At 40.6% G+C, this 23,779-nt stretch overlaps 1 protein-coding gene and 1 long non-coding RNA gene across 9 annotated transcripts in view, besides 1 other annotated feature; one reads left to right on the top strand and one right to left on the bottom strand.

Annotated features, from left to right (window-relative positions):
- Positions 1-425: 425 nt before the first annotated feature.
- On the bottom strand, positions 426-23,610 carry MKX-AS1 (MKX antisense RNA 1). The gene is made up of 2 exons (NR_121652.1): positions 23,277-23,610; positions 426-867 (listed from the first exon to the last, which is right to left on the bottom strand). It is a non-coding gene; the product is annotated as an MKX antisense RNA 1 (long non-coding RNA).
- Positions 22,325-22,915: an enhancer, noted in NCBI's record as "H3K27ac-H3K4me1 hESC enhancer chr10:28034239-28034829 (GRCh37/hg19 assembly coordinates)". NCBI's record gives its function as "activates a minimal SCP1, AML or CMV promoter by ChIP-STARR-seq in primed H9 embryonic stem cells {active_cell/tissue: H9 hESC(primed)}" and the evidence as "EXISTENCE:reporter gene assay evidence [ECO:0000049][PMID:30033119]".
- Positions 22,406-23,779, top strand: part of MKX (mohawk homeobox) — a 72,946-nt gene continuing 71,572 nt past the window's right edge. For 4 of the 8 annotated variants that reach the window (NM_001242702.2, XM_017016108.2, NM_173576.3 and 1 more), the window contains exon 1: positions 22,406-22,518. The gene's annotated coding sequence lies outside the window, so the exon portion shown is untranslated. Of the gene's footprint in view, positions 22,519-22,751; positions 23,328-23,532; positions 23,764-23,779 lie in introns of those variants that run through there. The other 4 variants (XM_047425119.1, XM_047425117.1, XM_017016105.2 and 1 more) reach the window with 2 other exon arrangements.

The raw sequence follows: 23,779 nt of genomic DNA, 5'->3' as shown, positions 1-23,779 counted from the left end.
ACTTCGGAGAATATAAAATTGGTGCTTTCATGGTTTGATCAAGTTGAGGGAGATTGATGGTAACAGAGTGATGTACTGACTTGTCAGAATCAAGAAAAAAGAGGTTGGGCATGGTGGTTCATGCCTGTAGTCCTAGTGCTTTGGGAGGCTGAGGCAGGAGGATTGCTTGAACCCAGGAGTTCAAGACCAGCCTGGGCAACATAGCAAGACCCCATCTCCACCAAAAAAAAAAATTGGCTGGACATGGTGGTATGTGCCTGTAATTCTAGCTACTCAGGAGGCTGAGAGGAGAAAACTGCCTGGGTCCAGGTGTTTGGGGCTACAGTGAGCCATGATCCCCCCACTGTGGTACAGCCTGGACAACAAAGCAAGATCTTGTCTCTACAAGAAAATAAAATAAATCTTAAAAAAGAAAGAAGACATCATCACATATATAGAAGTCGAATTTATGTGAATATGAATGCCCATCATCCATTCCAATCTTTTTTAGCCTTCTCGTCTGACAGAGGCTGGAAAACTCTGGTCTGTGTTTCCAAAACTCCTTTGCAGCTTGGATTCTGAAAGTGATTGATCTGACAAATCAAATGCATTCCATGTGCAATACAGCATTTGGAAGTACGGTGGAGGCCTCACCTCTGTGGTTTTCTATTTCTTTCAGCAGTCCATCTCATGGAGACATTTCAGGTTTTTGTTCCAGAATTAGCAGACTTTCTGGTGTCCACATACAAGAGTCCCATGGGTGTCAGAGGTGAGGTGCAGGCCATCAGTGCTGTTGATGGGAATCACAGTCCTGGCACCAGCAGCAGTAGTGGTTTCTTGATCACAGCACTTCCTGAATGAGGCACAGTGGGGTGGTGCTCTGGAGCTCTGAAAGAGACAGAAGCTCTTTCAGTACTTCTGCTCTGCAATGTACTTAGGAAGTCATTTCTGAAAACCTGGAACTGAGGGGTTAACCTGATCAGGTCTGCCAGATGTAGCAACCCTCTTGCTTTTGGTCACTTTTATTTCCATGAATCTGAAGGCCGTGAGCTGAATGCTGCAATGTCACCTTCACTGGCCACCTTATCGACAACACTTATAAGTCACCATGGTAATGGTCACTTCAGTTGTTTTTCAGGAACTTGGGACAGCTCCTATCCAGTTCAAACTTGTTGAGAGCACCCTTCAACTGGGCCCGTGCAAATGCCCAAGAGCTGACATTTTGACATGAGAGGACCCAAAACTCTACCTATAGATCATGCTAATAATGCCATTTTCTGAACATATGTCCCATGAAATGCCAGGCACCCTGACTACGCTTGTGCAGATCACTGATTACTTCAATTTTCCCTACTACCAATCACCTTTTCCCACGCTTTAGACCACGTTGCTTTTCTAACCCATAAATATCCCTAAGCCTCATCTTCAAGGAGGTGGATTTGAGACCTGCTCTCCCACCTCCTCGTTTGGCTGCCTTGTGAATAAACTCTCTTTTGCAAAACATGTGTCACAGTGATTGATTTAGTGTGTTTGGGCAGAAGGGAGCTGGACCAGGTTGATACCAAATCTACTCAGAGTTTACTAATTTAGCACTTCCCTTCTTCCTGCTCTTATGCTCCTAATGATTTTCCATGTCATTTAATGTCCCGTAATCAATCTTTTCCTCATTGAACTAGCTAGAATGGATTCCGTTTGCACCAATTAAGCCCTAACTGTTACAAGACCCACATGTGGGACAATTATAAATCGTATCTTGATAAAAAGAAAACGAAAATGGTAGCAATATGTGGGAACATCTTGGTAACTTGCTTAAATGATCTCCTTCATCCTGTACCAGGCTAAATGCCACTGTTGTGCAGGCCCTGCTTCTTAGCATTTTGTAGAAGCTGCTGGATTTCATAAATTAGCTGAACTTGGCCAAAGATGAAAGATGAGAAGAAAATGGCCCCAAAAATGTGACAGAGGTGGCTGGGCATAGTGGCTTTCACCTGTAATCCCAGCACTTTGGGAGGCCGAGGTGGGTAGGTCACCTGAGGTCAGGCATCCAAGACCAGCTTGGCCAACATGGCGAAACCCCGTCTCTACTAAAAATACAAAAATTAGCGGGATGTGGTGGTGTATGCCTGTAGTCCCGGCTACTCAGGAGGCTGAGGCAGGAGAATCGCTTAAACCCAGGAGGCAGAGGTTGCAGTGAGCCTAGATTGTGCCATTGCACTCCAGCCTCGGTGACAAAAGCAAAACTCTGCCTCAAAAAAAAAAAAAAAAGAAAGAAAAAAGAAATGTGACAGAGACTTTCCCTCCTTTTTTTCCATTGCGGAGATCAGCAAACACTTTCTGTAAAAAGGCCAGACAGAAAATATTTTAGGCTTCATGGGCTGTGTGATCTCTTTAGGGACTACTTAGCTCTACAATTGTAGTATGACAGCAGCCATAGATATTCTATACACAGGTCTGGCTATGTCATCCTAATAAAACTTTATTTACAAAAATAGGCAGTGAGCCAGATTGGGCTTGCAGATCATAGTTTGCTGATCGCTCTTCTATAGTAATAGTGTCCTTTATTTGCAGATAGGAACATGGCCACCTGGAATAAAGACTGCATTTCCCAGCCTTTCTTGCAGCTAGGTGTGGCCAAGTGGTTAACTGTGATCTATAAGATGGGAAAAGTAGTGTGAGCAACTCCTAGGAAAGGCCATTAAAAAGTGGTGGGAACGAGGAAGCGTGCACTTCTATTTCCCGTTCGTTCTCCTTTTCTCCTGGTTGGAATGTGGTCATAGTGGCTGAAACCCGGGCAGCCATTTTAGACTAGATAATGCTCTCAAGACAGAAAGCCTTGCGTTGGGGAAGCAACAAAATAGAAAGCGACTAGATCCTTGACATGTAGGAATGTCAGGTGGATTTCTTGAACGTGAGAAGAAAGTGAGCAACCATGTTGTTTAAACTATGTTGATTTGGAGTTTTTCTGTTATGGCCAAACAATCTTAACAGATCAGGCAAAACTTCAAAAAGCATAGTAAATGAATGAGGACTGCTAAGTACATAATTTTTGCTGGATTAATAAATGACTGTGAATTGAAGTATGCACTACATGAAATAAGGCTATTGGGACTTGTCTCAAAGATCTAAATGTCAACCTGAAGTACAAAATGCAAAAAGGTATTTGGTTTATATATTTGCAATACCAAATTTCAGCATATGAAGTATCTTCGTAGACAGTTATTTGGTATTTTCATGATATAAAATAGAGAAAACTAAACCTTATTAAAGAGGATTAAAATAAGTCTAAATCTAGTTGTAAAATGTGGATTAAAAATTTATAACCAGGGGCTTGGCACAGTGGCTCATTTCTGTAATTCCTGCCAAGGCCAGAGGATTGCTTGAGGCCAGGACTTGGACACCAGCCTGGGCAACATAGACAGACCCTGTCTCTACAGAGAAAGAATTTAAAATTTGCTGGGGATGATGGGTGCACCTGTACTCCTAGTCACCCAGAAGGCTGAGGCAGGAGGATCCCTTGAGCCCAGGAGTTCGAGGCTGCAGTGAGCTATGATGGCACCACTTGCATTCCAGCCTGGGAGAGAGTGAGACTCTGTCTCTAAAAATAAAGGATTAAAAAATTGTAATTAAAACACTCAGCAATTGTATGCTAAACTACCAACATAGTGTTCAGATTTATATCCATGTTCTAGTCACTGTGCTACAGAAATAGCTTCCTAACTAGTCATACAAATATTTCTCTATACCAAATAAATCATCCCATAGAGGTAGTTTTTCTAATCCCTGTCCATGCCCTTACCCCTCTCTATAATGAGTGTATCTCATTGGGTTCTATTTGTTTTTCTAAGTTAAGAAGAGAAAGACGAAACTAAGCTATAGCTGAGGGTTTCTAAAGAAACAAATTATGTTGTGTGTATTTAAGGTATACAATATGATGTTATGGGATACATATACAGAGTAAAAAGGTTAATATAGTGAAACAAATTAACAAACATGTCTATCAACTCACATAGTTATTCACCTTTTTATTTGTTTTTGTGGCAGGAGCAGCTAAAATCTACTCATTTAGCATAAATCTTAAATACAGTAGAATTGTATTTCCTATAATCCTCATCTTGTACATTAGATCTCTAGACTTGTTTATGCTACATATCTGCTACTTTATATTCTCCGACCCACATGTCCCCATTTCTTCTCCTCTCCCTGACCCCTGCTAACCATTGTTGTATGCTCCATCTCTGTAAATTTGAAATTTTTTTAGATTCCACATATAAGTAAGATTATGCAATATTTTTCTTTCTGTACCTGGAGAATTTCACTTAACATAATATCCTCCAGGCCCATCCGTGTTGTGGCAAATGGCAAGATCTGGTTCTTTTTTAGGGCTGAACAATACTCCATTCTGTATATAAACCACCGTACACTCTTGCTATTCAAAGTGTGGTCCTTGGGCCATCAGCCCTACCTAGGAGCTTGTTAGGAATGCAGAATCTCTGGCCACACAGTATCAGAATCTGGTTTTAATAAGATCCCAAGGCGAATTGCACGCAAGTTAAAGTTTGAGAATATTTGAGAATACTGCTTTTCAATTCTTCTGTACTGACATCAAGCAACAAATACCCTTTAACTTCTCTCAGCTCTTTCAATCTCAAAAATACTAGTCACCTAAATAAAATGTTTCTGTACTTCTAAACTACCCACCAAGCACCAAAACAAAAAAAGGACTAAAATTAAAACATAGGTCTCATAGCATCACCTATTTTCCTGTTGGGGGAAAACAGAATATGTTTTCATTTCAAAGCACTTCTTTTTCCTAGGAAGCATCTAGGATTAGGCTCATCTCTGATCCTCAGCTGAAGACGAAGAAAGAGATTCTAGTGATAAATTCTAACAATCAGATGCCATATCTGTAGAATCTCTTAGGGATCCTACAGAGTCTGTTAAATTCTGATAAATAAAACTAATAGTTTTATTTATTGAGATATCAATTTTATTACAGGTCTGCAATAATAGGTTATTATTTAATACTATTTCCACTACATATATGTCAGTTTCATATCATTTCAAGAATATAAAAACTTGTATTACAAAGTAGAAATTGTATTTTTCCCTCCAGAGAAAATCTCTACTTGCAGTCCTGCTTGGTTAATACATCCAAATCTATGCTTCAGGTATTTGGAGGACAGCCGCAAATGTAACTACAAGTTTAAAATGTAAACTTTGAAGAAAAGTTTACAGCTTCTAGAATTAAAATACTGAAAAGAAAAGTAAAAACAATTTCTAACCTTTTGTCAAAGAATGATATTCCCCTTTTGGGGATATTTTTAAATATATTGGGTAGAATTCCATGATGGCTTAATTATGGCCTTGACTAAATGTGGAAAGATAGATTCTATTGGCTTCTCAAGGTCTCTTTTCAATGAATAGTCTCTGTACAAATAGCATTTGCTATAAATAAAATTTCACAGTGAAAATCAACCCAAGCACATTGTACCTTATACCATTTTATTTTCTAAACTTTGGCTGAAATATTCAGAAGTATTGGCAACTATATTACTTCTTTGGAAGAAAAACTAGGTAGTGAGATTCTTGGGCCCTTTTATGCTGGGAGTTTTAAAGAATTTTAGTACATTCCTGCTAACTCTTAGAACTCACATCCTATGTATTTAAAAAGTTATTTTCCTGCCATTTTGACATATCAGCTCATATCTGAATTAAAGGCCTGTTTAAATGTCTAGGTCAAGAGCAGGAAGATTCATTAGAGATCTGTTGGTTGAATCCTGTATGGTTTCGTATCTGGCAATTTTAGGGACCAATTGTAGGGACCATCCGTCCCACGTTGCCAAACACTGGAGGGTTTACTGGGACACATGATTTTCAGTGCTAACATTGAGACAGTTGGTCACGCTACAATTTAGCAATATATTTTTCAGAGTGTGTGTGTATCTGCGTGTGTGTTAGTGAGTGGTTATGGGGTGTGTGTGCTTCTGTGTGTGTGTGTGTGGAGATGCATGGTGTGCGTGTGTGTGTGTTTATGTCTGTAGATGTGTATGTGTGTATAAGCATGTGTGTTCAGATACATTTATTGATATTATTTTTTTCCATGTGTTTAACGTCCTTTTAGAGGATAATGACCAAATATAATACTTTTTCCAATCTATGTGCTATGTGTGCAAGTAAGCCAGTAGTTAGGTATTTATCAACTCATCTTTAAGAAAAGTAAAACCTAAAATTCAGTATTTGCATTTTAAATAAAAAGAAAAATTCTCAAAATAGAGACATCTTGTCTTGACGATGGTATAGGTAACAGTTTTTGAAATGGTGTTTCCTTTCCAGCCTTAATAAACCCATATTTCAGGAGTGAATTCATCTTTAATTATGCAAGGCCGATAGACAGAGCCTTATATGCTGCCATTAGACGAGGACATTCTCTGGGCTGAGTGGCTTATCATGTGTAACAAAAGACATTCTCACCTTCTTGTCAATTCATTTTTTTTAAGTGTTCATAAAATTGTGAAGTTGACTGTATCTGCTTCTTTTAAATAACACTTCAGTGTAAAAACAACTGATGCTGAGTTGTTCAACTTATAACTTCTTAGATCCAAAATGTTGTCAGGATGAAGTGGCAGGTTTTACAAAGCCAATAAACTCTGTGATTTTTCTTAGATGGAAACAATGAAAATCCATAACTGAATAATGATATTCAAAAAGGAGAAAGCCCCCCCCCCACATACACATTTGAGGCAGTTATTAATTAAGCTCCTTATTCTAAAAATATATGTCTAATGGGAAAACTTTAACACTTATCCTGCTTTTCCAGTAAGACTATATTTCAGGACAACCAAAAAACACCATTTCATCTAGTGGGGTTTTATAAGAGAATATCATCTATGAAGAGAGATAAAAAACTGAATGCTATGATAATCATTGTCAATCCCTAATGAAATTATTGACCCAGGCAAGAATTATCAACTAGTGTTGGAAGCAACTTTAAGTTGGAATTCAACTTAAAAAGATGAATGGGCAATCAGACATTTGCAGAGTACCAAAGTAGTGCCAAAGCTTTCTTGCTAGTCACAGGTGAGAAATGTAAGTGTACAATAGAGGGACTAGGTTTTCATCACCGAAATCCAGTGGTCAAGTTTAACGTCACTTATGGTGCAACCATTAAATATCATGTCTCCTGCTGTGACACACAATAAAATGCAAACCACCACCTGTGACATATTCTACGAAAATGCTCAATGTGAATCCAGCAAACTTTCAAATCTAACTTCTGTTTATGGAAAGCAGAGGGCATGAGGGAAAGTCAAATAACAGTACCAGAAAGCACGCAGACAAACGAAGAAGGTGGAGGATTCTGTGGGGTCATTGGTCCAGCCCATCCAACAAGTCAGTGTGTAATGAAAAAACATTAGGGATGGTGATTGATTAGGAAAAAACTTGGAGGCAATACAACTAGATTCAAGATGTGGGCCTAGATTTGACTCTAGTTTGGACAGACTGGTTCTGAAGGGTGCTTTGAAGACAATGAAGATTTCAAATATGGGTAGATTATAACATAAAAATGTATTTAACTTTAAAGCTAAAGCTCATTAATATAGAAAATCACGTTACAAAATAAGTTGCAAAGTATTATCTTGTTTATATTAAAATATAAATATATGTAAATTATCTAAACGAATCATTCAAATAGTTTTAGCAGAAATAATCCCTGGGTGGTAGGAATATGGTGCTTTTGTTTTCTTAATTTTGCTTATCTTATTTTCTAGCTTTCTTATTGCACAGATATAGCTTTTGTAACAATAAGTTGTATTTATTGGTTAAGAAACTAAAAGAATTGTGTGCTGAGGGTGGGAGTGCCACAGTTCAATGACATTAGGGTTTTAGACCTTTCTGAGACCTAGCGCTGATCGCTGCAATCATTTTTGATGACTTTAACTAGAGAATTTGGATTAGGAGACCAGAGCTGAGTTATAATCAGCCGGTCCAGAGCCAGGTCAGCACTTTAACTCTTCGTGTCCACAACTGAAGTTGTCAACATAGCCCAGATTTGCTGGACTCTTGGCTTTTATATGACCTCGAGCTCAGATTTTCATCTGGAAAGGATTAATAATGAGACTGTGTGCTTAGGGTGTTGCATTACATGAAAAGACACACATGAGAGCCCTAGAACAATGCCTAGCATCTGAGAGCTCCATCAATATCAGCTCTTGTTCCTGTGATTGTTCTCTCTCACAGTGAAGGATTCCATTGTCCCCTGTGTCACTTAGGGCTGCAGGCCATCCTGGAGGCTACCTTGCTCCTCCCACAATGACCCGGTGGCATCTGTGGCTGCTCCATTCTTATAGGAAGAAAACCAAAATAATGGACATAAGATACAGGACTTCCATCATCTAGCATTTGCCCATTTATTGTCAGTCTTCTCATTTCACTTTCCGTTATGCATCCTAAGCTTCAGCCTTAAGCCACAATAATTTGTTCACCTTCTTGAGGATGTGACTATCATCCTCAAGGATATCTACTTTATAGTTACATAAAAGCAAAACACATATAAAACACTCTTCATCTGCCCCCTTCAGGTAAAGATGACATTTAACAGTAATTGAGAAACTAACTGCCTTCCAAAAGACACTTAGGATTTAGAAATGTACCTGTCATTGTATGATTTTGTTTCTGAAAATAACTTGTATTATCTATTGAAAAACTGATTCTACTTAAAAACTTGGAAAAGGAATTTTCAAATCTACTTTAAAATCTCTTTAAAAGTTGCAGGGAATATGATAGTCATTTTTTTAAAATAAAAGTGCCACACTTTCTGACTAATTTATAAGAAGAACTGATTGATATCAAGGAAGGCTTAAAAGCATAATCTCAAGCAAGCCCCTTTGTATAATTTGTGGATGGGGCAGTAAATATAGTCAGAAATCCACCTCTTCTGTATGAATCTATGTCTTGTCCTGAGATATCTGGGATTTTAGGGATGGCAGTAGTATGAAAAATGAAAAAAAAAGGATGCTAATGAGCAACATGAAAGTTTAGAACTTACTGGTAAATGTTAAGTACATAGTCAAATTCAGAATACTCTAATACTGTGATGGTGGTATGTAAATTATGTATATCTTTAGTATGCAGGTTAAAAGACAAAATTATTAAAAATAACAATAGCTATAACAATTTGTGAAGGGATACATAACATAAAAATATGTAAATTGTGACACCACAAATGTAAAATGGGGAGAGTAAAAGTGTAGAGTTTTTATGAAATCAAAGTTGTTTAAAACCAAAAACTGACAAACGGGATCTTATTAAACTAAAGAGCTTCTGCACAGCAAAAGAAACCATCAAAAGAGTAAACAGACAACCTACAGAATGGGAGAAAAGTTTGGCAAACTATGCATCTGACAAAGGTCTAGTATCCAGCATCTGTAAGGAACTTAAACCAATTTACAAGAAAAAAAATAACCTTATTAAAAAGTGGGCAAAAAGCATGAACACTTTTCAAAAGAAGACATATATGCAGCCAAGAAGCATATGAAAAAAGCTCAACATCACTAATCATTAGAGAAATGCAAATCAAAACCACAATGAGATACCATCTCACACCAGTCAGAATGGCTATTACTAAAAAGTCAAAAAATAACAGATGCTTGTGAGGTCGTGGAGAAAAAGGAACACTTCTACACTGTTGGTGGGAGTGTAAATTAGTTCAACCATTGTGGAAAACAGTGTGACTATTTTTTAAGTATGAAGCAATTCAAATTACATTGCTTTCACTAAAAATAGCCTTGTTGATAATATTAATAATTATTTATTGACATAACATTTTGGTGGGAACAAAAACATATTTGTGTCATTAATAGAAAAAATTATTTAAAAATATTGTTTATTTCATTGTTGCCTCTTTAAAAACCTTTCCATTTTTGCATGTTTTACAATTTACAAAATATATTAGCCCAATTGTACATCTATACCAACCATTACCAGTAAACGACTATATATGTATTAGAGAAGCCTGCCCTAAATATTTTTTAGTGATGAGTGTACAATCAAAAAAGTTTGAAGGCCATTGCTCCAGACCAATTTTCCGCAGTGTACGGTTTGAGAAATATCTGTATCAGTACCATTATAGAGCCTGAAGCCCAGAAAACCTGACTTTGAGCATCTATAGTTGGGATGTGGAACCTGCATTTCTAACAAGTACCCCAATGCTTAAGGTGATTCAACAGCTTGAAAAGCCTAGCATTGAGGGAAATAAAAAGCATTCCATAGAGACCACGAGTGCCTAGGAATAAGGCATTCTACTGACAGCCATAGGCTATATACAGTGTCCATAGTCAGCAGTCTCCTTATTAGTCTTACTGAATTTGCAAGACCAACCTTAAGTGTATAAACTTCTTAGCCTCAGCAAAGAAATTATTTCCTAAAGGAAGATTCTGCAATAATTGCCCCTGTAAAAAATGTATGTTACCCACATGGGGCTTTATAGGGACTGCTATGGGTTGAATGTGTCCTCTCAAATTCATATATTGAAACTTATTCTCCAATTCGATAAACTAAATTAGTCCTCTCAAATTCATATATTGAAACTTAATTGCCAGTGTGATAACATTAAGATAAGTGGAGCACTTAGGAGGTGATTAAGTCATGAGGGTGGAGCTTATTTCCTAATTAAGGCCTTGAGTGAGTAGGTTCATTCCCTTCCCATTCTTCTGCCATGTGAGATGCAGCAAGAAGGCCCTCACCAGACACCAGATGCTAGCACCCTGATCTTGGACTTTCCAGCCTCCAGAACTGTAAAAAAGAAATTTCTATTCTTTATAAATTATCCAGACTCAGGTATTTTGTTATAACAGCACAAAAGAACTAAGACAGTGGCCCTGCCATTGCTATTCCAGAGGCTGAATTATGTGTTAATCATTGTGGGATCATCAGAGGATAAACTCATGAAAGGCTTCAGTTAGTGCAATTTCTTTTTCATTAATGAGATGGCCAAGTTTAATAATTTTTAAAAAAATGAGTAGATAAAGAAACACTTCGAATGACCACACCACTCTTAAACCCAGGCAAAGGGCTACTGCCCTGAATCCTTCTTTTAAAAGGCCTGCATCACACACACACACACACACACACACACACACACACACACACTGTCATTTGGGATTGCGTGCTTAACAGGGCATAGTGCAACTCTAAACCTAAATGTCTGCTCTTGTGACAACATCATTCAGGCCCACGGAAATTCTTCTACACATTGTTTGCTTTATGTCCTCAAAGTAAAAGGTGATCACATCCAAATGTTGTAAAGGTTTGGGTTGCACAGCTGAGAACACTGGAGGTGAACACTGCAGGTGAACACTGCTTCTGAGAGCTGGGAGAAAAGACCAATTAATCAACTCAACAGACCCTTCTTTTCAGAGAGCATGAATGCAATATATCTTTGCCTTATGCAGTATTGTTTCCCAGTAGTGCCTGGTATCATTTTTTTTGCTCATCCAGCAACTGGTTGTGAAGGTATTCAATATTTAGCAAAGCTTTGCAATAGTTGCAACTGGTAGCAAAAGAATGTTTTGCAATATTAAACAATTCATATCACACTTAAATCAGTAATTGTATAAATTTTGACAAATAACTCATGAAATCTGATATCAATACTTTGCATTGAAACCAGCCATGTATTGAACACTACCAATGCAAATAATTTGTATAAAGATATTTTAAATTAATTTTCCAAAAATTAAATAAAATTTTAGATTTATTTGAAATTTTATATTCATTAATTGTTTTTCTCTTTTAATTTTATACGTAATTATTTTAGAATAAAAGCATTTCATAAATGATACATGAAAATGAGTTTAATTTTAAAAACCTGCCATATTTATTTTAATATACATTCTTTATAAAAACAAATTCAAGTTTTAAACACTTAATAGAATTGCATTTACTCAGAACACAAATTATTGCAATTATTGAAGTAATTGCAATTACTTCAGAACACAAATTATGAGAAATATTGATTATAATAACTGATTTTTGCTGAAATAAAGACAAGAAAATTAAATTTAATATAATAAATATATTTTATATTTATATTTTATTACTTATCTAAACACTGCAAGCTTAACAGCAAGATATCCAGACATATACAATAACAATTAAATCTAATTGTCTTTAACACTTTTCTAACTAAAGTCCTAACTTTCTATATAGTTTTTGATTTTCCAGAGAGATGGTATGTTCGTCAAGGTAGAAGGACGGGGCATATGTTACTTAAGTGTTTTAGCTTGATTTATAGGGTTTAAATATTTAGACATATGGTACGTGGGTGTCATTGGTACTCTTGCCTTAGGCTCCACAAATGTTAGGGGTAAGCCTGACGACTGTAACAATGAAAACAAGACAAAACAAAACAAAACAGAGACAAAATAACCAAAGAGGATCATGAAGTTGTAGGGCCACTGTCACCTTCTTCTTCAAAGCTACTGGTTTTCACCCCTCTTAGAATAAGCCACTTATAATCATGTCTACTCCCACAAGAAAACAACACTTCAGGGTCGCTGAGGCTATTCCAAAGCCTGTTATTTTTCATTGTCCGGTGGAAAAGATGTTCTCCAGATTTCGAGAACCCTCAGAATACTCAGCAGTAATTGGCTTCTGGGTGTGAGCCCACACATGAAGAAGAACAGGAAGTGGAGCCTTTCTACCATGACGCTGAAGCTGTTGAAATCATCCTATTACAGGTGACACTGACCCTCCACTGCTCCCCACCTAGAAAAAATGTCACATACAGAATGAAAAGTGAACGTATTGGCGTTGAGTTTCTACCTGTGAAGTGAGGAGTCGGAAGGTGTGTAGCTGCATGTTTAGCTGTGCCTACAGTTATGGAGACAAGGGTTTAAGAGTTCTTTCTCTCTACCCTTCCTATATACCTTCAAAGAAGGGGCAGAGTTAAGTGATATAGCACATGAGCTCTAAGGTCTGCCTGACTTGGTTCAAATCCCAGCTCCACTAGTCACCAACTTTGTGACTTACAGTAATCCTATGCCTAGATGTCCTCTTCTACAAAATGGGTACTAAAGTGTGGCTGTGAGAATTACATGAGTTAATTGCTTACAATAGTGTGTGGATTCATAGGAAGTGCTTTGTATGTATTATGTATTTTTAAAATATCCTTTATTATGTCACCATTTATGAGTCTGGAAGAGTAGTATCAGGACATATGTCTTGGGCTGCCTGCTACCGCAGGTCTAAGAAAAAGTTGTGACGTTTGGATATTGCAAGACTTCCCCTATCCTAGACTTCAGGCTGTTTAAATTATACAATTTAGGCCTGGCATGGTGGTTCGTGCTTGCAATCCCAGCAACTTGGGAAGCCGAGGCCAGGAGTTTGAGACCAGTCTGGACAACATAGCAAGATCCCACCTCTACAGAAAAAAAAAAATTAAAAATTAGCTGAGTGTGGTGGTATGTATCTGTAATCCCAGCTACTCGGGAGGCTGAGATGAGAAGATCTCTTGAGTTCAGGAGTTCGAGGATACAGTGAGCTATGATCATGTTACTGTACTACAGCCTGGGCAACAGAGCAAGATCCTATCTCTAACAATTTACATTAATAAATAAATAGTATATAATTAATTGGCCTAATGCCTTTTTCCTTTTCCCTTTCTACTAGCCCAAACTCCTTTCTCAGCAGGATTTATGGTAGCCTACTCCATCAAAGCACTTTTAACAAAGATCAGTGAAAAGCAGAACAAAAAGATGCTCACACCTGCTGCCTGGCCTGAGGTTCCCTGGCCCAGATACTTGGGCAAGAATTAATCTTTCTTGTGCAGAGAATGAGTGGAGCCCCAGGAATGACTTCACTGCCACCCATAACAAGTTTATGCACAGAACACCTCTGTTCCAATCCCTCTCTCCCTTTAGCACTTTTCCAAAACAGGGGTTTTATAAAAGTGGGTTGCAGGGAGGTAGGTTAGATAAAGGCATGCACAGGGAAGAAAAGCCAAAAGCTAACCTCTGTGTGTCTGCCATTACCACATTTTTTTTTCTCAACGGAAGTCCTAAAAATCTTTCTTGAAACCCAGAAGTTTTTGGCATAACATTCAAAACAGCCTGATGTAAGAGGTGAAAATACTGTTTTTCAATCAGGCTCAAATTTCTGAAATAATGCTCTCTTTTTGCATGTTTTCGGGAAGGATGTTGGTAATATGGTTACAAAATTTTTAGCAGACACATAAAATTATCATTCTGTCATCTTTAAGCTCCCTCATGCATTGCTACAGATGACTTATAGATTTACTGGATTCAAGCAATCTTTATATCAGATACCCTAAGGCTTTTTAGATGAGGTATATTTATTTTCCAGTGCTTTCTTAACAGGTTTGTAAGCTAGGCAAGGATCGTGTCTTTTAAATCAGATACGATGCAGTTCTTGGCACAGAACTTTGCATGCGGGTGCTCCATAAATACGTATTGTTGATTATTAAAAAGAAAACAATAAAAAATAGCTCAAATTTTGTGAGTTTTTTGGAGGGGGGGTGGTGGGGTGTCAGTCAGAAAACAGTAAGCCTTGAAAATTAATCAGCATTTTCCGTGATTACATAAAACATAAGCATCAAAACCCAAGTACCAATACTGCGCCTAAAGGCAGATCATATCAATAACTAAGGCATATCGTATCAATCGCTAAGGCATATCACATCAATAACTAAGGCATATCATATCATATTGTATCATATCAATAACTAAGAAGAGGAAGAAAGAAAGGAAGGGAAGAAGGGAAGAAGCGGGTGAGAGGAAGGATGTAAGCAAGAAGGGAGGGAAAGAGGAAGAAAGAAATGAAGGAAGGGAGGGAGGGAGGGAGGAAGAAAAGATGGAAAGAAGGGAGAGAGAGAGGAAGGAAGGAAGGAAGGAAGGGAGGGAAAAGAGAGAGAGGAAGGAAGGAAGGAAGGAAGGGAGGGAAAAGAGAGGGAGAAAGGAAGGAAGGAAGGAAGGGAGGGAAAAGAGAGAGAGGAAGAAAGGAAGGAAGGAAGGGAGGGAAAAGAGAGGGAGAAAGGAAGGAAGGAAAGAAGGAAGGGGGGAGAGAGGAAGGAAGGAGGAAAAAGAGGGAGAGAAGGAGAAAGGGAGAGAGAGTAAAGAAAAGAAGGAAAGGAAAGGAAAGGAGAAATGAAAGGAAATGAAAAAGGAAAGGAAATGAAGGAAAGGGAAGGGAAGGGAAGGCAAGGGAGGGGAGGGGGAAGGGAAGGGAAGGGAAGGGAAGAGAAGGGCAAGGGAAGGGAAAGGAAAGGAAAGGGGAAAGGAAAGGAAAGGGGAAAGGAAAGGAAAGGGGAAAGGAAAGGAAAAATTAAGATTTTTAAAAAGACCATAGCGCCAAATAAATGTGAAAATAATAAGGCTGATTCTCTAAACACATGCAACACTGTCTCAGGAGGCAAGGGGAGGAAGCACTTTTTCTTTCCATCTCCTTTCCAGATCGCCCTGGTGTGGCAGCCTCTAGGCATCTAGGAAGCGCTTTTCTTAAGCCCACCTGTGGCCACTGGGATCATTTTTTTTACAAGTGTCTATTACTTAGGGTAAAGACTAAGTTCCTTTAGCAAGGAAGCCCCCAAATACAGTGACTTAAATAAGGGGTATTTGTCTCCCCTGCAATGAGAGCTGAGTAGTCCAAGTCATAGGTCAGCAAACACAACCCCTCGCCGGCAAAATGCAGCTCATGGCCTTTTCCAATTTCTCAGGTAAGAATAGCTTTTACATCTTTAACTGGTTGGAAATAAAAAATAAAAGCAGCAACACTATTGTATGTGTATGTCTCTTCTCATGCTGCTAATAAAGACATATCTGAGACTGGGTAATTTATAAAGGAAAGAGGTTTAATGAACTCACAGTTCCACATGGATGGGGAGGCCTCACAATCATGGCAGAAGGAGAATGAGGAGCAAAAGGACGTCTTACATGGTGGCAGCCAAGAAAGCTTGTGCAGGGGAGCTCCCCTTTATAAAACCATCAGATCTCATGAGACTTATTCACTATCACTGCTATCACAGGAACAGCACGGGAAAGACCTGCCCCCATGATTCAATTACCTCCCACCAGGTGCCTCCCATGACACGTGGGAATTGTGGGAGCTACAATTCGAGATGAGATTTGGGTGAGGACACAGCCAAGCCATATCAGTGAGAATGAGAATGACACAAATTCAATCTTTAGTGTCATTCAATCAAGTCTTATTGGAACACATCAACACTCATTCCTTAACTCATTCATAGTCAAGTCTTGTCTACAGTTGCTTCTGCACCACAGTGATGGAGTTCAATCATCATCGGGGAGATCACGGGGCCCAGAAAGCTTTTGCTATCCGGCCCTTTACAGAAAAAGGTTTTTGGACTCAGGTTAGGTTAGCCTGATAGCTCTCACTGGAGTGATTCATTCAAAGCCACAGGTTCCCTTTATCTTGCGATTCTGCTGTTTCTTAGGTTATTTGCTGCTCGGCTGACATGGGTCACTGCCTGTTACGGACTGACCTGTGTCCCCTCAAAATTCATATGTGACACCCTAACCCCCAATGGAACTGAACTTGGAGACAAGGCCTTTAATGAGGTGAATAAAGTTAAATGAGGTCAGCCAGGCATGTTGGCTCACTTTGGGAGGCCAAGGTGTGTGGATCACTTGAGGTCAGGAGTTTGAGACCAGCCTGGCCAACATGGCAAAACCCCATCTCTACTAAAAATACAAAAATTAGGTGGGCGAGGTGGCAGGCACCTGTAATCCCAGCTGTTCAGGAGGCTGAGGCAGGAGAATTGCTTGAACCTGGGAGGCAGAAGTTGCAGTGAGCCAAGATAGCTCCACTGCACTCCAGCCTGGGTAACAGAATTAGACTCTGTCTCAGAAAAAAAAAAAAAGTTAAATGAAATTACAACAGTGGGATCCTAATTTGCTACAACTGGTGTCCTTTTTAAAAAGAGGGAGAGGTAGCAGACCTCTCTCTCTCTCTCTCTCTCTTTCTCTTTCTCCTCCTCTCTACCCCACCCCAGCATGAGCACAGAGAAAAGGTCATGTGAGGACACAGTAAGAAGGTGCTGTCTGCAAGTCGGGGAGAGAATTTACCAGAAACCAACCCTGCCAGCACCTTGATCTTGGACTTTGAGTCTCCAAAACTGTGAGAAAATACATTTCTGTCATTTAAGCCACCCAGTCTGTGATATTCTGTGATGGCAGCTGGAGTGAACTAATACCCTGCCACATCCATGCTCCAACCGTTGGACACAGGAAGAGTTAAAGGGAGAGAAGGGCAGCAATTTCCTTCTAAGCTTGTTGAGCAGAAGTTGCACACATCACTCCTGCTCACATTCAGTCCTTTGGTGAATCTATTCAGTTATCCTACACATAGATTGAAAATGAAAACAGAGAAGATGGATTTGGGGAGGGTCAACCAAAAGCATGACACATTTTGGAGCACATATCATGATTAAATATTTAAAATCTACGGATTTCCTGAAGTCCATTAGGTTTCATACATAGAGCCCTACTGGCCTAGGGACAAAAGTCTTCACTATTTTTATTTAAAAGGACACTTTTTGACATAAAGGCAAATTGATTCTCAAGCTAGAAGAGTCTTCTGAAAGTAATTCTAGTATGTAAGTGTAAATGCGTATTTTAAGGATGAAATATTCTGCCAGTTCCCCTCAAGACCCCAATGTATAGTATATTTTCTTGTGTGTAATATAGGGGACTCTAATTTGAGGTCACTGAAGATACTTTGGTATCAAGAGAAAAGATGGGTTGTTAGGGGTCAGTGTCACATCAGGTCCTGTCTCAAGCAAGACCTGGAGTAGAACAAGACGTTAACCCACTTGGATCTCAGTTCTATTGATTGCTTATTATGTGTATTTTCTGCACTTGCACATACTTAATGGTTTTTAAAATTGCGGTGATAAAGTACTTGCATTTCTGGCCAGAATGAATTTGACTCATATATAATCATTATCAAATGTTCCTATCTTGACTAGCTGCTTTGTGAAGAAAAAAAAATTAATTCCCATTCCATGAAATGTTGAGCAAGGAGAGAAATACATTTTACTTTTTCAAACAATGGGTGCTTTTTCATCACTTTTACAAATAACCTTATATTGCTTGTGATAGGGTATCCCTTCTTTGTTACATGATGTGTTTGAAAAGCTATGTGCAGTCACACTGTACTGTGGAAAATACAGCTGCTGGAAACTGATCTCCTGCTTCTAAGCTGATAAATGACTTCATCCTAGAACACCATTGAATCAACCATCTCAATCTGAACCATAACTTATTAAGAAGCCAAGTGGAAAAATGTTTTAAAGTATTAGATGAAAATACAAAAAGAAAAAAAGCCTTCTTAAGCAAGACACAAAAACCAGAATTCAAAAAAGGAGACTGACATACTGATCTATTTACATTTAATCATTCTGTAAGACAAAGACAAAATAGATAAAAGTCAAGTCACAGACCAGGTAACATATTTGCAACATGTAAAAATATATATCATGAAAAAATGATTTATAAATAAACATTATAAATCAATAAGGCATCTCATAAGGATATAAGCAAAGGCAATTCAATTAAGAAATGCAAATGGCTTATAAAGGAAAATGTTTTCAAACAATGAGGCATTATTTTACTCATCATTTAGGCAAACATTATGAAGACTGAACACATGCAATGCTATGTAGCATGTGAGGAAATTGGAGCATGCATGTGTCAGCAGTGGTGTAGGTTGGAGAAAAATTTGGAAGTATCTATCAAAATTTAAAAACCGTGTTTCCTTCAACCTAGAAATTCTACGTCTGGGTAACTATTCCTAGAGAAACACGTTATGCATATACAGAAATAATCATATGCAAAGATGTTTGATGTTTATATAGTGAAAATTGGAAAGACAGACATATTCATAGGAGAATGTTTAAGGAGATTATGGAGTCTTATGTAACAGTTTAAAAGAAGGAGTTACATGTATGCCTACTAATACAAAAGTTCTTTAGGACATCACTGAATGAAAAAGCAAGAATTAGTTTAATACTCAGTATGTATATGTACATTTATATACAGCCTCATTTATTTTAAAAATTCATAAAGCAAAACTATAATTTATTAATTTTATTCATGTATGTAAATGCATAGAAAAAACTTGAGCAGATGCATATCCAACCTGCAATTGCCAGCTTTGGGTGGTTCCTCTGCAGAATGTGATTGGGTGGAAGTGGCTGAGAGGGACTTTCGCTTGTATTCTTCTTTGTTTGAGAGTGGATTTATGCAAAAGACCCTCCCTGTAAGAAGGCGTTATTCATTCTGTGTTATTTATGGAACTAAAATTAACTTATAAACAAAGCAGAAACACCTTGTGAGATCCTTCGTGGCCACTCATTCTACTGCTTAGCTCACAGTGTTTCTGCAGCGGTATGTCTCACCACTTGTTCTGTTGTTCCCCTTACACACTCCAGTATGTATCTCTGCCATCAAACTGTCCACGTGTGAGCTGAACCTGCTATTTGTTCATTAACTTACTGTTTTATACCATTTGAGCAGGAAGTTGTAGTCATTCTCTGGCTTTGTAGTTTGCTTTATTGCTCATAAGTAATAACTGGAAAAAGGAGTTTTAAAACACTCATTATTTTCAAACATTTTGACTAATATTTATTCTGAAATGTCAGGGTAATTTGGTAAAATATCAAAATGCTAAAACTGAAGACTTATTTTTTTCTTTACCAGAAAGTAATAATTACATATATTTATAACTGCAGAGTCCAATACAATGAATTAATATTTCTTTCAAATGTTCTTACTTAACATCTTTCTAGCTTTAGCAAAGCAGTATCTTACTTTCACATTAAAAAAAAGAAACCCTTCATAATAGTGTAAGGCAGTTTGTGGAAAACTTATTACCGTCATTTTACACTTTACTAAATTCAGGCTAAACCATCATCAAATTAACCAGAATTAAGATTAGGGCTCAAGTCTTCTGACTTCTGGTCTAAGTTGTTGGGTGTTTTGGGTTTTTTTTCCCCCTGCATAAGGCCATCTTCCACAAACTACATATGCTTTCTTAAATCTTCTAAAACTTTCTGAAACTGGAAGCTTTACTTCTGAGGATTATATATAGCATTTCATATACTGACATTGGATATAGCACAAGAGGCTGAGTAACATTTATTTTAGAAATAGGTGTAATTTAATAATGAATGTATTTGAAGTGTGGATTAAAATGAAGACAACACTTCCCTTTTGCATAGAGGATAAAACTTGCAAAAATAAAATAAATGCCCATTGGTATATTACAGAGGGATATTTCACACCATTTCACTTCTAGAATGGATCCTTCACTCTTCTTTCATTTTTAAATGGATTTTAATTATTAAATCATAGTCTAAGGGAATTACCATATGTTAATTTTTTAGTGAGTTGAGGCTTACTCAAATGTATTTTATTCCTATATCAAATGAAAAGTATTTTTGCATTAAGATTTTTGCTGTATATTTCATTTCAGACTTTAAGAAAACAAATATTACATGTAAGTATATCTTAAAAGCGCTCTAAATGCATTTTTAAATTGAGTAAATATAGTTAAGTACTAAAACAACAAAATTCATTTGTCCTATACTAACATGTACTATAGCATATAGCTCAAAAAGTTAGTAGAATACTGGGAAATTGCAAGTAACTGTATGATGCCTATTGCTTTACCTGGGACAGCTGACCAAAAAATGTTTCAGGGGTATGTTAGAGCTAATTTCATTACAATTCCCGGTGACTAACACCACTGATAGAGACCATAAAAGAGAAGGTGGCTCTTTTGTCCTATGAATTATCAATTAGATCTGCTTCTGTGGTGAAATTTGTTAGCTGAAAATTGATGGCTGAAACCTTAGGATTTACCCCTGTCTTTAAGCTCCTACAGCGAGGTCTGTAGACCAGAAGCCTGTACTGAACTCACACCACAAGGGCAGCGCCAAAGACAAGATGCAAGCGCTGCAACAGCAAGTTATATAACAAAAGAGAACCGAGGACATCAGAACGTGCTCCAATGATACTTTGTATCTTCCTGGTGCGCAAAAATGTAAACCGGCCTTCCTTTATGGTTTACATTGTACCCCTGCACAACGGTTTGCTATCGCGTAATTTGGGAGGTGACACATATGAAATTTGAGGGTGTGATTAGTCTTTAAAATAATAGTTTTGGTATATATTTTAAGCACTTCTAGCGACCCCCCCAACACACAAACACACACACACACACGCGCACACACACACACACACACGAAGAAGATGCTAAGGTGGGCCACTGCCCCGGCTCTGGCCAGCCGCATTTAGAGGGGAAAAGGACAAATGGCGCTATTTCTTTAAGCTTGGTGGGGGGAAATCTAAGTTTGTTCTTTAAAAAGGGCGAAAGTTCGCTAGGACCACAGGGCCTTCGGCGAGAGCGCAGGCAGCTTCGTGTTGGCACCTTGGGGATCTTCTGGGCTGCCAGAAGCTCTGAGCTTGCAGTTGCACCTAAACCGCCGCTTTCGCTACTTATATTTGCGGTAATGTTAGGAAGCAAAGTATCATCAATCAGAGAATCTGGTAGCCATTCTCTCTCTTTGCCCTGTGTCCCAGCTTGTGATTCTTCTAAGTTCCATCTCCTTTGCTGCGTGCAGATCCTTGGCTTTGGGCGCGCTTCCTCTTCTGCACTTGGGCCACCGCGGGTTGGCCACCTGGGCTGAACTCATCCCATCCTTGCTTTCCCCCATCCCTATACCCAGCGGCGAGGGCAGCCTCACCAGCCCTTGCCCCGGAGGTGAATGTGTGCCTGGCTTTGACTGAGACAACTAGGACCCCAGAAGCCCAGTGACATCAGAAAAGAGGCTCCTGGGCACTAGCACTTCCCGCAATACGCTCCAGGGCTGTAGGTGCAAAACGGAGCTCTAACTTCCCTCCAGCTAATCGAGAGGAAAATACAGGGCGCGTCACAGTGGCCTCTCCCGCCTAGCCACGCGCAGTGAAATTTCCGGCAATCGGGCCAGCTAAGACACGGGATTTGCACCGCAGCCTCTCAGCTTCTGGAGCCGGAGCCGAGCGCTCCCGGCAGCTTCTCCAATTTCTCTCCTAAAGTGCGAAGGGAAAAGCCCCGTCTGCTCCACGACTGCAAGGCCGGCGGATCTGGGAGCCGCGCCCGGCTCCGGAGGACTCGGCGGGCCCGGGGCTCCCCGGCAGCGGCTCCTCTGCTAGGGGTTAACAGCAGCCCCCGCGGCCGGGCGGGCGCGGACGCTTCCTCTCCACCCGCCCGGGAACGTGGATACCGCGCCCGCAGGATGTTCGCCGGCTGGGACCGGCAGTCAGGAAACATGAGAAGGCCTCGCTATTCCTGTTCCCGGGCGGCGCGCGCCGGGCTGGGTAAATAAAGCCGAGACGACGGCGGTGGCGGTGGTGAGCGCGCTGGAGCCCGCGTGGAGAACATGCGGCGGGGATGGGAGTGCGCCTAGTCTCGAGGCGGGAGAGCCAGCCGCCCTGCAGCCGGCCGTCGGCCCCGCAGCCACAGGTACAGCCCCCGCGTCGCCGAGTCTCAGCCGGCTGCGGCGGAACGCCAGGCTCGCTCTGGCCCCTGCGCCCTGGGCGCCGGTGCTCTCCCGCCCTTCCCCCAACTTCCCTCCAAGGTCTGGTGGAGAGGCGCTCGGGTAGCGGCCAAGGCTGGCCCAAGGGTCTGCGCGGAGCTTGGGAGCCCACCTGGCCGCGCCTCCTTTGCTTTAAAATTATTCGCCGGCGTTGGGGGAGGGGGACACTTCTGCAGGGAGTGACCTCCCCGGCCACAGTCTGGAGTGAATCGGGGTAAGTGATTTGAGAAGAGGCGCGGGTGGCCGCGCGCGGGAGTCCTGGGAGGGTCAGCAAGTGTGGTTCACACGCCCCCGGACCCCTTGCGACAGGACAGCGCTCGGACCTTTGCCATCGCTTGCCTCTGAGCCTGCTGCCTGCAGACCTACAGCGCGCCGGGTGTCTGTGTCTGCGATCTCTGCGTGGGCTTGGGGCTGCCGGGGAAGTGTCCGAGGTGGCTAACCTCGTGATGACTTCGCTAGGAAAAACACGTCGTCGCATCTAGGAGGACGCGCTGGGGTGGCTCGGAGAAGGCCGGGCCGGGGAAGGGTGTCTTGTACAAATAAAGCAGCATGAACACACATCCCTAAGGGCATGATTTTAAAAGAAAACACCAACGCGAGTCTTGACTGTAGAACAGGGGCTGCAAGCACGAAAATTCTCTTTGACACTTATCACCGAGGCTATGTGCACACCCCAGGCACGTACCTGTCTGCGCGGGAGGACGCAGTCCTAGGGGACACACGACATCCAGCAGAGGTCTGACTTCACTTCCCTACGAACACAGACCGTAGCCGTCGTTTGATCGCGGTGGTCACGCGTGGTCCTAAATGTCACGCGTGGCCTCTGCTGCGGTGGCCGAAGGGCGGGGCGGGGGCGTTGGCGAGTGTGGGCGCTTGGCGAGGCAAAGGGTGTGTGTGTGTGTGTGTGTGTGTGTGTGTGTGTATGCGCGCGCGCGTGTGTTAGTGGAGTAGCAGCCCATGCCGCGGCTGGACGGGCAAAGGGGGCGCTGGCAGCGAAGCTGAGGCCGCTCGGAGGAAACGGGAGCTGTCCCGAGGCGCGAGGCGAGGAGATGGGGCGGGCGAAGTCCGCCGCGCGCCTTGGGGCTGTAACTCTGCGGCTCCGCGGCCGCGCGGACTTGCTCCTGACGCCGGTGCGCGGCAGGCAGAGGCTCAGGGCCTCCGCGACCCCAGAGGTGAGCTGCTGGCTCT

The sequence above is a fragment of the Homo sapiens genome, chromosome 10 (assembly GCF_000001405.40).
Source record: "Homo sapiens chromosome 10, GRCh38.p14 Primary Assembly".
In the NCBI taxonomy this organism is placed as follows: domain Eukaryota; kingdom Metazoa; phylum Chordata; class Mammalia; order Primates; family Hominidae; genus Homo; species Homo sapiens.
This window is presented reverse-complemented; position numbering and strand designations above follow the sequence as displayed.